The sequence below is a fragment of the Homo sapiens genome, chromosome 9 (genome assembly GCF_000001405.40).
Source record: "Homo sapiens chromosome 9, GRCh38.p14 Primary Assembly".
Taxonomy (NCBI): domain Eukaryota; kingdom Metazoa; phylum Chordata; class Mammalia; order Primates; family Hominidae; genus Homo; species Homo sapiens.
Window position 1 is genome coordinate 134,889,794 of NC_000009.12, and position 12,268 is coordinate 134,902,061.

Here is a 12,268-nt window from a genome sequence, read left to right on the forward strand (position 1 = left end):
AGCCTAGGCCAAGGCCAAGAGTGTCCCCAGGGCTGGGCTGTCCCTGTCCCTCTGCTGGGGACCGCTGCCTCCCTTCCTGCTCTTCAGAGGTCTCAGGCCTCTGCTGTCGGGAGGGCTGGAAGAAGGGGCAGCAGCTGGCAGGGGGCCTGTGCCCACTAGACCCTAGATTCTTAACTGTAACTGTGGTTTCTGTGGCCAGGCTGGGGGTGACAGAGGCATTCAAGCCAGACTCCATCTTGAATAGGGGCTGGGTGAAATGAGGCTGAGGCCTGCTGTGCTGCAGTCCCAGGAGGTTAGGCATTCTTAGTCATAGGAGGTTGGCAGGACGGGTATCACAAAATACAGGTCAGGATGCGGTAAAGAAGACGGCCAAATCCCACCAAAACCAAGACAGTGACAAAAGTGACTTCTGGTCGTCCTCACTGCTCACTATATGCTAATTATAATGCGTTAGCATGTTGAAGGACACTCCCACGACAGTTTGCAAACACCATGGCAACTTCCGGAACTTACTATGTATGGTCTAAAAAAGGGAGGGACCCTCAGTTCCCTGCCCCTTTCTTGGAAAACTCATGAAAGATCCACCCCTTGTTTAGTATGTAATCAAGAAATAAGTATAAAAATAGCCAGTTAGCAGTCCTCAGAGCTTCTCTGCCTATGGAGTAGTCATTCTTTTGTTTCTTTACTTCTTTAATAAAGTGGCTTTTACTTTATGAACTCGCCCCAAATGCTTTCTTGTGAGAGGTCCAAGAACCCTCTCTTGGGGTCTGGATAAGGATGCTTATTTTCCCCAAAGCTGTGAAGCCTTGCTTTGGCTGGAGTAACTGACATTGAAACCGCCACTGTAAAATTATGACTGAGACAATGAAAGAGATCTGACTTAACCAACTCCATCTTGCTTCTAACCTCCAAGCTGTGCTTGTTCATTCCTAGGCATAGGCTGAACTAACTTTGGGAGGAACTTAGTTTATAGTTCAAAACAAAGATGATAATAGCCCTTTCCCAAAACCTCCTTCTTGCCTGAGGACTAGACTCCTTTTGTAGGACAAATTAGCCACAAGATTAGAAATTATGGTTTAGGAGTCATGCAGCTGAAGGCTACACGATTCTGACCCTCTCTCAACTGCTCCTGAAGTCAGTACTTGGGATATTTTGCAGACCTTGCACTTGATGGATCAGCTGGCACCACCCAGCTCAATAAACTGGCTCGTCTGATCTTGTGGCCCCCACCTAGGAACTGACTCAGTGCAAGAAGACAATTCTGACTCCCTGTGATTTCATCTCTGACCAATCAGTATGTCCAGCTCTTTGGCTTCCCCCCAACCCTGACCAATCAGCACTCCTGGCTCATTCGCTTCCCCCCAACTCACCAAGTTGTCCTTAAACACTCTGATCCCTGAATGCTCGGGTAGACTGATTTGGTAATAATGAAACTCTAGTCCAGTATCCTGCACGGCGGCTCTGCGTAAATTACTCTTTCTCGATTGCAATTCTCCTGTCTTGATAAATTGGCTCTGTCTGGGCAGCAGGCAAGCTGAACCCACTGGGTGGTTGCAACATCAGGAAGTCCCCGTCCTTAGGATGAGAAAGGAGCCCGCCCTGCAGGGCTGGAACCCCATGTATCAGGAAGGTGAAGCAGTGTACTCAGAAAGCTCCTCTGCAGGAGAGAGGGCCATTTAACAAATCTAGGCCCAGGGCAGTCCTCCACCTCTGAGGACTCTCCCCATGAAGGTGTGATGCTCTCTGGGAATGGGAGCACAACTTGACCCTTCCCTGGGATCCTCATTCTCCACCCTGCCCCTGCTACACCTTTTCCAGACCTCATTCTCACTCGCCTTCACCTCTCCAGAATCTGATGTGCTTTCTGGTTTTGTCTTCCCTGTGCTCTGCCTTCCGAGCAGTAGCGGGTGCTCTGTGGAACCCTAGGACCCTTCCATCCTGCCCTTGGGCTCTCAGCCCTTGGGCGATGGATTTGCTGCAGCCTGATCCCCACCCCCTCTTCCTGTCCAGTCTTCAGGAGGAACTGACCGAGCATGGGGCTCTGTGAGGCCTCCTGGCCTTGGTGTCAGTGGCCCTGCCTGGGGCCCTTTGGTCCCTGGTCCTGTTCAGCTGCCTGTACGTGTTTATGGAGACATTGGCCACGTGGCACTATGTGTGGCTTGTGCTCCCAGGCAGGGTCTCAGAGTAGAACTTGCCTCCTTCAAAAGCAAAGTCTCTTCATTTCAGCTGTGAAGTGCAGTGGCATTTTGCCCTCACAGACCTGGGCTGTGTGGCCTTGATCTGTGACCTGACCTCTCTGAATCTTCCTTCTCGTGTAACATGGGATGGCAGGGTGGATTTGAAGGCCCCGGGGAGTAAGAAGAATGTGCTCCCACACTGGGTTTGCAATGTGCTGAAGGGCCAGGAAGCGTAGCACAGCATCACACACCCGGCCCAGCTGCCAGTCCTCCTCCTAGGGCACCCCCTGCCCAGCTGACAGCCCTTGCCCGTGAGGCCTCCCCTTCTGTTCGGGCCTTTCCCTGGGCGCAGGAGCCCTTGGCTATAGGTCTTTGTTGTGGGCTCCAGCCCTGCCTAGCCCTGCCTGGCCTGCCCCTACACCTCCTGTCACCTGCCTGTCTCCTTGGGCTGAGAGTCCAGGCTGTTCTGTTGAGGGTGTTGGGAGCTGTGCCTTGGCATAGGGGTGGCGGGCAGGGATTGACTCTGTTGTGTATCCAGACCTGGGAGAGGAGGATGGAGCCACCTGCTGTGGGCCAGGCTCCAGCAAAGGCCTCCCTCACCTGCTGCCCACACTAGCCAGGGCGGGCTCCCTGGGGTCAGAGCAGAGGCCAGGCTGTCTGCCTTTATTGCCTTCAGAATCTGCTTGAGGGAGAACTGGCTCTCTTCTCTCTCTCCTGGCCTGAGGGACACTGTCTCCCTCCAATAAGCTGATGGTTGGGAGCTGTGACTGATAGGCACCCAAACCCTGAAACCAGGTGTTCTTGCCTCCATTGACCCAAACCCCCGTGTCCCCTGCCCCTTCCCTACCCCTCACCATGGGTTTCTGAGTTCTTCCAATGACTCCATGCCTTAAGTGCAATTTATAAAAAAAAGAACTGGGAAAGGGCCGTCTTGTGGATTCCAGGCTCAGCTGGCTCTAGGCAGAGCGTAATGTTGCTCACCAAAGGTAGGATGTGGTTTTAGGCTGCATTCACAAAGGCCTGACATCTAGAACAAGGAAGATGCCACACTCGCCTCTGCATAGGTCACTCCCCACCTGTGCCCTGGGTTCTGAGTTTTGCACTTTACAGCAACCAAGATGGAAACACTGCTGGGGAATGGGAGTGGAGAGCTGGAAAGAGCATTCTGGGAAGTGGCCGAAGGCAAGCAGGGAGTAACAGGCAGAAAACATGGCCTGCTGCAGAGCATGAACTGTGCATTTTGGGAGGTGACCCCACGCTAGGAGGACATCACTGTTCCAGGCTCCTGGGCACTCAGGGCCCCTCGCATCTCTTTGTCCCCAGCCTCTCTGGGTGTCTGTTCTTGTCCCTTTATTCCTCTGCGTCCTAGGCTTCTTTCCTCTCCCAGTAGCCTGTAGTCAGAAAGAGTGGGGTGGCCAACTTGTGCCAGTGAGCCTGGGCCTGCCCAGTTTTAGCACTGAGCATCCATCTCCTGGAAAAGCCCTAGCCACCAGGATGGTCGGTTGTCCTAAGAGGAGTCTCAGTGGCCCCAGTCAGATGCAACAGGTAAAAAATCCCCAAAACCACTGGGCACAGTGGCTCATGCCTGTAATCCCAGCACTTTGGGAGGCCGAGGAGGGTAGATCACAAGGTCAGGAGATCGAGACCATCCTGGCTAACACGGTGAAACCCCGTCTCTACTAAAAAAATACACACAAAAATTAGCTGGGTGTGGTGGCGGGTGCCTGTAGTCCCAGCTACTTGGGAGGCTGAGGCAGAAGAATGGCGTGAACCTGGGAGGTGGAGCTTGCAGTGAGCCGAGATCGCACCACTGCACTCCAGCCTGGGTGACAGAGCAAGACTCCATCTCAAAAAAAAAAAAAAAAAAAATCCCCAAAACACTGCATGCCCTATCCTCAAAGTCAGGAAGACACAGAGTTCAGGACACCTGCCCCACTGACCTTCACCTTCTCTTTTCTTCACTAGAATGACACTAATCACTTAGTGAAGAAAGACTAAGCCAAGCCCTTCTCCCACTACCCCCATGGAACATCTGCTGGGTGCACAGCCCTCTCTGGAGTACAAGGCAGTGAATTCCTGCTCTGAAGGAGCCTGCCCTCTCACCAGGAGAACGAGGCCTTTTCCAATAGCATCAGACAAACGGCCTAAATGGAAGACTCAAAGCAGTGGCTCCAGTGAGTCCTGTCCTGTTTCTTTCTTCCAGGCTCAGCCTGAAGTTCTCCTGAATCCTTATAGGAGCCAGAACTCCCCAGTTACTCTCTCACTGCCTGTCTGACCTGAGAGAGAGTTAGGAGGCGGGACGTGACTCTGGAGGCAGGGATTGGACACTGGATCAGATGAGGACTAGCTGAAACAGGGCCAAGGTGAAAGCAGCTTTCAATAAGACACACCCACCCATGTGCCATGTCAGTTTACCATTGCCCACGGCAACACCCAGAAGTTACCACCCCTTTCCATGGCAATGACTTGATGACCCAGAAGTCACCACTCTTTTCCTAGAAATTTCTGTATAAACCACCTTTAATTTGCATTTAGTTAAAAGTGGGTATAAGTATGTCTGCAGAACTGCCTCTGAGCTGCTGCTCTGGGCACACTGCCTATGGGGAGCCCTGCTCTGCAAGGAGGGTAACTTGGCTACTGCTGTACATGGCCGCTTCAATAGAAGTTGCTGTTTGATGCCACCAGCTCACCCTTAAATTCTTTCCTGGGTGAAGCCAAGAACCCTCCTGGGCTAAGCCCCAATTTGGGGCTCACCTACCCTGCATCAGGTGGATGTCCAGATTTAAGTGCAAATACAGACAATTCACATTCCAATCCATACACAAATGGCAAACCCTTGGGGAAGATGGCTGCATCGTTACCGTACGTGCTCCCATCACTCCAGGAGAATTTCTCATTATTGTTTATAAAAGGCATGCCTTGTGGCATTGAGACAGACATAGTGTTATATGTTCACTAAGCCTGTTTTTCCCCCTCCTGAGGGTACAAGAAGGCTGCTTTTCTAAACCTCTCTTGCAGTTAGATGAGACTATATGATGGAGATTTAGTCAATGGGATGTTCACAGAGATTATGCAGACCCCTTTCTAAACTGGCCCCCCAAACCTTCTGTCCCATGTCCTGGTGAGGAACCCCAAAGCCCTCTGTAAACCTGCATTGCACTGCATGGGCCCTGCATTGCAGCACAAGGGGAAATGATGACACTGTGATCCTGAGGGGTTGTTTGTTATAGCAGCTATTTGTGCTTACACTGACTCATGCAGAGATTGGTACCAGAAGTGCAAGAGCGTGGCAACAGACACCTAAAATCCAAGGCACTGGCCTAGCAGCCACATGGTGGGTGGAGGGCTGCAGAGTTTTGTTTGATGAACATGTTGTCTTCAATAACTTGGAAGGCAGTTCCTTGGAACGTCTCTTCCAGCCCCAGGGGATCGACTTGAAAAACAGAACTTTCAGTGTGTGTTTATTTTTATTGGCTGTCTGACTAGGTGTTACAAGAGAAAGAAGAGTTTAGAAAAGAAATTAGCAAGCAGGAAAAAAAATGGATTAAAGAGACTAGGAATTGGAAATCTCGCAGAGTTGGAAAATGCCTGAACATTGTTAGACTCCAAACAGTACGAGATGAGGTTTTAAAAGCACTAGGGTAAGAAGGATCAATGGAATACGTTGTTTTGAACAGAGTGACTCAAAATTGTAGTAAAGATCCTTCCTGCCCAAGCCTGAAAACTTTAAGAAAGACTTCCTTAAGATGAGAGATACAGGGAGGCATGGGGATAAATTGGCAAAGAAGTGCATCAAATCTGAATGAAATATGAGCCAAATTTCTATCTCAGGAAAGAAGATGCCCAGAAGAAATCTGGTTTTTTAAATCACTGCAGGAGTGATTCTTGTCACCATGTCCTGCCCTGGACTATGACCTGGGCAAGAAACAAACTTGCATTGTGTATCAGCCCTGAGATATTAAGATTGCCTGTTAAAATAGCTGCTGTTTCTTATCTTTACAAAGAGGTGGCCCAGGCGAGGAGAGGAGAAACCTGCATTCTCCTCCTGGTTCAAAAACTTACTCTGGGCTTTGTGCCAAGTTGGCCTCCTACTGATTTCTTTAGCTGCACTTGAGCTACTCAGTTTGGTTTTCATTGCCACTGTGACTCATCAGCCAGAGGCCATATGGGTGGGGGGCAGCCAGTTATCTGATTCCTGCAGCTTTACAGGAGGCTGGAAGCCCACCCGCCCACCCCAAGATGTGGCAGAAGTCCCAGTCGGGAAGCCAGCAGAGCCAAGGACAATCTGGATATGTCCATCTGTCCCAAGGTAGCAAACGGGCCCTCCCAGAGCCCTGTGCCTTCCATGACGGCATGGGTGTTCTACAATTTCATTGGGGTTGAAACATGAATCATCAAATCTGAGAACTGGAAATTAAGGGGCAGCTGCTCTGGGTGATCTTACCACCCAGAACTCAAGTCAGTGCCTCTGTAGCTCCCAGCAGACCCACAGGCACAAGAAGCTCACTACTGGCATGAGCAGCCACCAGATCAGTGTGGCCTGGGATGGTGGTGACTGACATTGGAAGGTCTTCCTCTTGTCAAATGCAGTTCTGCTTCTCCATAAAAGCTAATCTTCAAAGTGGGCCAAGTGACCTGTATGGCGGGAAGTCCAAGGTTGTTTACCCCGTACCGTCGGGAAGGGCCTCTACTGGGCTGATGGCCAAGACATGTGAGTCAAGGACAGAACGCACATCCAAAAACAAAAACAAAACCTGGAGCGGCCATCACGTATCCAGCATGCTTGGCTCTGATGAATGCTTGGCTCGGCTGATACCTACCTGGCTTCCCAGCTCCTGTTTCTCTGGGCTGTGCGAGCCTGGATTCTAATTGAAACCCATTTGCGTTAATTCGTTTATCTCTCTTTTCCCTTCCAGGATTGCTGTCTTCTTTAATATGAGTTTGCTCTGATGAGCCAGAAGATCTCCGGGTTTTGTTCGCTTGCACTAAAACCTTCTACTCGGCTCTCTGAAACTAGCACGCTAGTGGTTCCTCAACCTAACTGTCCGTCGGAGCCACCTGGGGAGGCTCTGAAAAATACAGATTCAGGGGCCCCATCCCAGACTTTTAGAACCAAAATCTCAGTGGGTGATGCCTAGAGCCCTCCCTCTTCTCCGCTGATGAGCTGTGGTAGGAAGTCACACAGCAGCACATCAAACAGAGATGACAAGTCAGCCTGCCTCCCACTCCATCTCCAGCCTTCTGTGGGCCATGTGTCCCCAGGCCCCCCACCCATCCCTCAGAATAAAGGTGAGAGAGATCCAAATCAAAAGCAAGTTGAAATGTTTTTAAAACATGCAATAAGGATCAAATTAATTACAGTGAATATTTACATGCCTTAGATAGATTGTTTTATGGGGATGTGGTATTATGACTTGAATCTGTTTCATAAGTGTCACTTATGACACTACGTGAACTTAAAGAAAAGCTTGTACCCTTTGAATCAATAAGCTTACCAGAGAACTTACTCTTGGAAAAAAAATGCAACGTAAGAGAAAAAAGCGTGTACATAAACGTGTTAATTACTGGCTAGGATATCAGTATTCAACGATAAGAGGAAACACTGGATAGATTATAAGTGTTCAACAATAAGAGGATGTCCATTTCCTCCAGTGAGTATTAAATGGCCATTTAAAAAAATGCTCAATGTGCAAGCTCTAGTGACCTGGAAACCTAAGTGTAAAATTAGATCATAGAACTGGAAGTGCCGACTTCTACTTCCAGTAATAATGGGTTAGAAAACAAGGCCAAACTTCCTTCTGAAATCAAAAAAGCTGGGCAAATTTCAGAGATACTCTTCTTAAGCACTAAAGATGATCAGAGTAATGAGGAATTACCAGAATAAGATTCGGCAGAAATAGAAACTCAGAGTGGAGTATCTGTGAGTATCTTTGTCTGGGGTCATTCACCAATCAGAGAGAAGCTTTCAAGTCTGTGTGGGAGTTTTGTCAACTCAGCAGGCTGAAGGGGACCAGGGTACATGTTTAGAGCCTGCCAAGAATGGAGTTTCAGGTTAAGGAACCTGCACTTTAGCCTGACAACTATGTACATGTGCATCCCAGAGGTAAGGATCACCTGCAAGTAAACCAGCTCTCCCCCAAAATTGCAAACTGATTTTAAGTCATATGGGTGCACAGACCATCTCTGGCAATGGCACTGGTTATTAACTTCCAGAACATGCCTGGAGAAGCAAATGAAACCTGTGTTGGAGGAAGACAAAGTATTGCTAGGTTTCAAGTGATCTACATCAACACTTAAAAAACAAAGTTCATAATTTCTATAGCAGTCAAGGTGGCTGTGTTAGTATTCTACTCATGCACAGCAAATTACCACAAACGGCACCCATTTATTAACTCACAGTTCTATGGATCAGGGGTCTGAGTGGGCTCAGCAAGCAAGGTCCTCTGGTTAGAGTCTCACAAAGCTGAAGTCAAGGTGTAAGCCAAGCCTTATGCTCAGCTGGAGATTTGGGGGAGAAGCAGCTTCCAGGGCCATTCAGGTTGTTGTCAGAATCCAGTTCCGTGTGGTTTTAGGAGTAAGGTTCCCATTTTCTTGCTGGCTGTCAGCTGGGAGCTGCTGTCAGCTATTGGAGGCCACTCTCAGGTTCTTTCTAAATGAACCTCCATCTTCAAAGCTTGCAAAAGTGTGTCAAATCACCCTCATGCTGCAAATCTGTCTGACTCCTCTTTTGCTACCTGCCAGAGAAAACTCTCTGCATTTAAAGGACTGTCATGATTAGATTAGGCCCACCCTGATAATCCCTTTTTTAATTAACTCAATGTCAGCTAATTAGCCATCTTAATAGCATCTCAAAATCGCTTTTGTAATGTAACATAACATGATCACTGGCATGATAGCCTGTATTTATAGCACTGGGAATTAGAGCAGAAAATCTTTGGGGTTGAGTTGCATTTTTGAATGATGCTTCCCACAATGGAGTGAGCCCACTGCAGCACGTCAGACATTGAACAAAACACAAATACCTGATGATTTGAAAAGTAACAAAGACAGATTGGAGAGAGAACACAACATTTGTGTAAATAACCTACACAGGGAAAGCGAAACAGAAGTTGCAATCTAAACTTAATTAGGTGCACTGCCTGCTGAAACAACAACAAAGTCAACATTTTCCCAGAAGATGTTTAAAGAATCTCATAACATAATATTCAAAATGTCCTGGCTACATCCAAAATTGCACAAGGGATGTAAAGAACCAGGAAAACATAGACAATTCTGAAGGAAAAAGGCAATCGACATTCACTAATCCTGATATGACCAAGTGCTAGAAGTATTGAAGACTTTAAGGCAGCTATTATAATCATGCTGTAAGGAGTAAGTGCTAACACTCCTGAAGTTAATGGAAAGCTAGACAGTCTCATCAAAGAACTAGAAGCTACAAAATAAATCACATGAAAACTTTAGAACTGAAAAATGTAACAATAGAAATAGCATTTCCCTAGATAGAATCAATACAAGAATGGAGATAACGGAAGAGCCAGTGAACTTGAAGACAGGTCAATAAAAGTCTTCCATTTTGAACAATGGAGAGAAAACGCATTGGGAAAAATAGAGACTTCTGGTTTTGGTAATATGGAGTAGACATACTTTTACCCTATTCCACTCAATAAATGTAACAGATATCCCTGACCTGAAGAAGCTGATAACCTGAAAATACCAAAAGGCACAGATAAAAAAAAAAAAAAAAAGAAGGCCAGTAAAAACCTGCTCTCTCTATCCAAAGGCTCAGGAAGAAGACAGTCCAGCAAGACAGAAAACTTTAGACAATAATTGCTCTATTCCAGTCAAACGCTGGAGGTGACCCATCTCCTCCCCTACAAGCAAAGGCTAGGTAGAGAGCTTAGATTTCCACCTTCATTGAGCTGTAATGAGGCATCCCAGCACCCTCTAGTGCTGGATGGGTTGGTATCAGAAAAGGCACTTTCATCTCCTCTGTGCACAAGCAGTAACAAGTCCCCTCTACTCCTGCAGTGTCAGTGGAGTCTACATGGGGAAACTAGACTTCCACCCCAACCCAGCAGTTATGAGTTGCTCAGCTCTTTCCCCACTGGCTGGTATCAGAGAGGCCTAGTGGAGATTCAGAACTTTCACCATCTCCCAGTAGCAGTGAGTCCACCCCTCCCCTTGTGGTGCCAGTAAAGCCCTCATGGAGAACAGAAAGGAGACACACAACCCTCCTACGCACAGAGGTACCAGGGAAGGTCTCCTGAGGAGCTGGATCTCCTACTCCCACCCAGCAGTAAGGAGGAGTCCTAACATTTCAATAATTACATAAAAGTAAATGGCCTAAATGAACCAATTAAAAGAGAGAGAGATTGTCAGAGTGTATTTAAAAGCCTGACTAAGCATATGCTATCTAAAAGAAACTTATTTCAAATATAATAATATGAGCAAATTGAAAGTAAAAGCATATGGGAAAATGTATGTTATGCAAACATTAATCAAAAGAAAGCAGGAGAGGCTCTACTATATCAGATAAAAGTGACTTCAGGCAAAGAAAATTACCAGAGACAGAATATAATAATAAAAGGTCAACCTACTAAAAATTTAGAGGTTTTTTAGTAGAATTGTTGGATTCTAAATGTGTGCACACCAAACAACAGAGCTACACATTATGTGCTATACAAATAAGGTAACAATGATCTAAACAGCTGCATGTTTCTTACAAGAAACCACTGGGGGCCAGATGCAGTGGTTCATGCTTATAATCCTAGCAATTTGGGAGGCAGGGCAGGTGGATCACCTGAGGTCAGGAGTTCAAGACCAGCCTGGCCAACATGATGAAACTCGTCTCTACTAAAAATACAAAAAAAAAAAAATAGCTGGGCATGATGGTGGGCGCCTGTAATCCCAGCTACTTGGGTGGCTGAGGCAGGAGAATCACTCGAACCTGGGAGGCGGAGGTTGCAGTGAGCCAAGACTGCACCCTTACACTCTGGCCTGGGCAACAAGAACAAAACTCCTACAGAAGAAGAAGGAGAAGGAGAAGAAGAAGAAACCACTGGGGCCAGGTGACACTAAAATAACTTTGTGGTTTTTTTTTCTTTTTTTTTTTTGGAGACAGGGTTTCACTCTGCTTTCTCACCCTTATTCTGCTGAATAAAGGGTGCTATTACATGTTGCAGTAGTGTGACCAGGGCTCGCTGCAGCCTTGACCTCCCAGGCTCGAGTGGTCCTCCCATCTCAGCTTCCCAAGTAGCTGGGACTACAGGACTTCACCACCACACCTGGCTATTACTTTTTTTTTTTTTTTTTTTTTTTTTTAGAGATGGACTCTCACTATGTTGCCGAGGCTAGTCTCAAACTCCTGGACTGAAGCAATCCTCCCACCCCCACCTTGGCCTCCCAAAGTGTTGGGATTACAGGCATGAGACACTGTGGCCAGGCTGGAATAACATTTTTAAAGCATGGGAAGAAAATAACTGTAAACCCAGAATGCTATATTCCGTGAAAATATTCTTCAGATATAAACTTGGAATAAAGACATTCTTTTTTTATTATTATTATACTTTAAGTTCTAGGGTACATGTGCAAAACATGCAGGTTTGTTTCACATGTATATATGTGCTGTGTTGGTGTGCTGCACCCATTAACTTGTCATTTACATTAGGTATATCTCCTAATGCTATCCCTCCCCCCTCCCCCCTCCCCACGACAGGCTCCAGTGTGTAATGTTCCCCACCCTGTGTCCAAGTTCAATTCTCACCTATGAGCGAGAACATGTGGTGTTTGGTTTTCTGTCCTTGCAATAGTTTGCTCAGAATGATGGTTTCCAGCTTCATTCATGTCCCTACAAAGGACATGAACTCATCCTTTTTTATGGCTGCATAGTATTCCATGGTGTACATGTGCCACATTTTCTTAATCCAGTCTATCATTGATGGACATTTGGGTTGGTTCCAAGTCTTTGCTATTGTGAATAGTGCCGCAATAAACATACGTGTGCATGTGGAATAAAGACATTCTACTTTTTTATGTTGTATTATTTTTATTTTTTTCTCAGAAAACTTCTGTATAGTTTTTTTTAATTATCA

At 46.9% G+C, this 12,268-nt stretch overlaps 1 annotated feature.

Annotated features, from left to right (window-relative positions):
* Positions 12 to 512: an enhancer, noted in NCBI's record as "H3K4me1 hESC enhancer chr9:137781651-137782151 (GRCh37/hg19 assembly coordinates)". NCBI's record gives its function as "activates a minimal SCP1, AML or CMV promoter by ChIP-STARR-seq in naive H9 embryonic stem cells {active_cell/tissue: H9 hESC(naive)}" and the evidence as "EXISTENCE:reporter gene assay evidence [ECO:0000049][PMID:30033119]".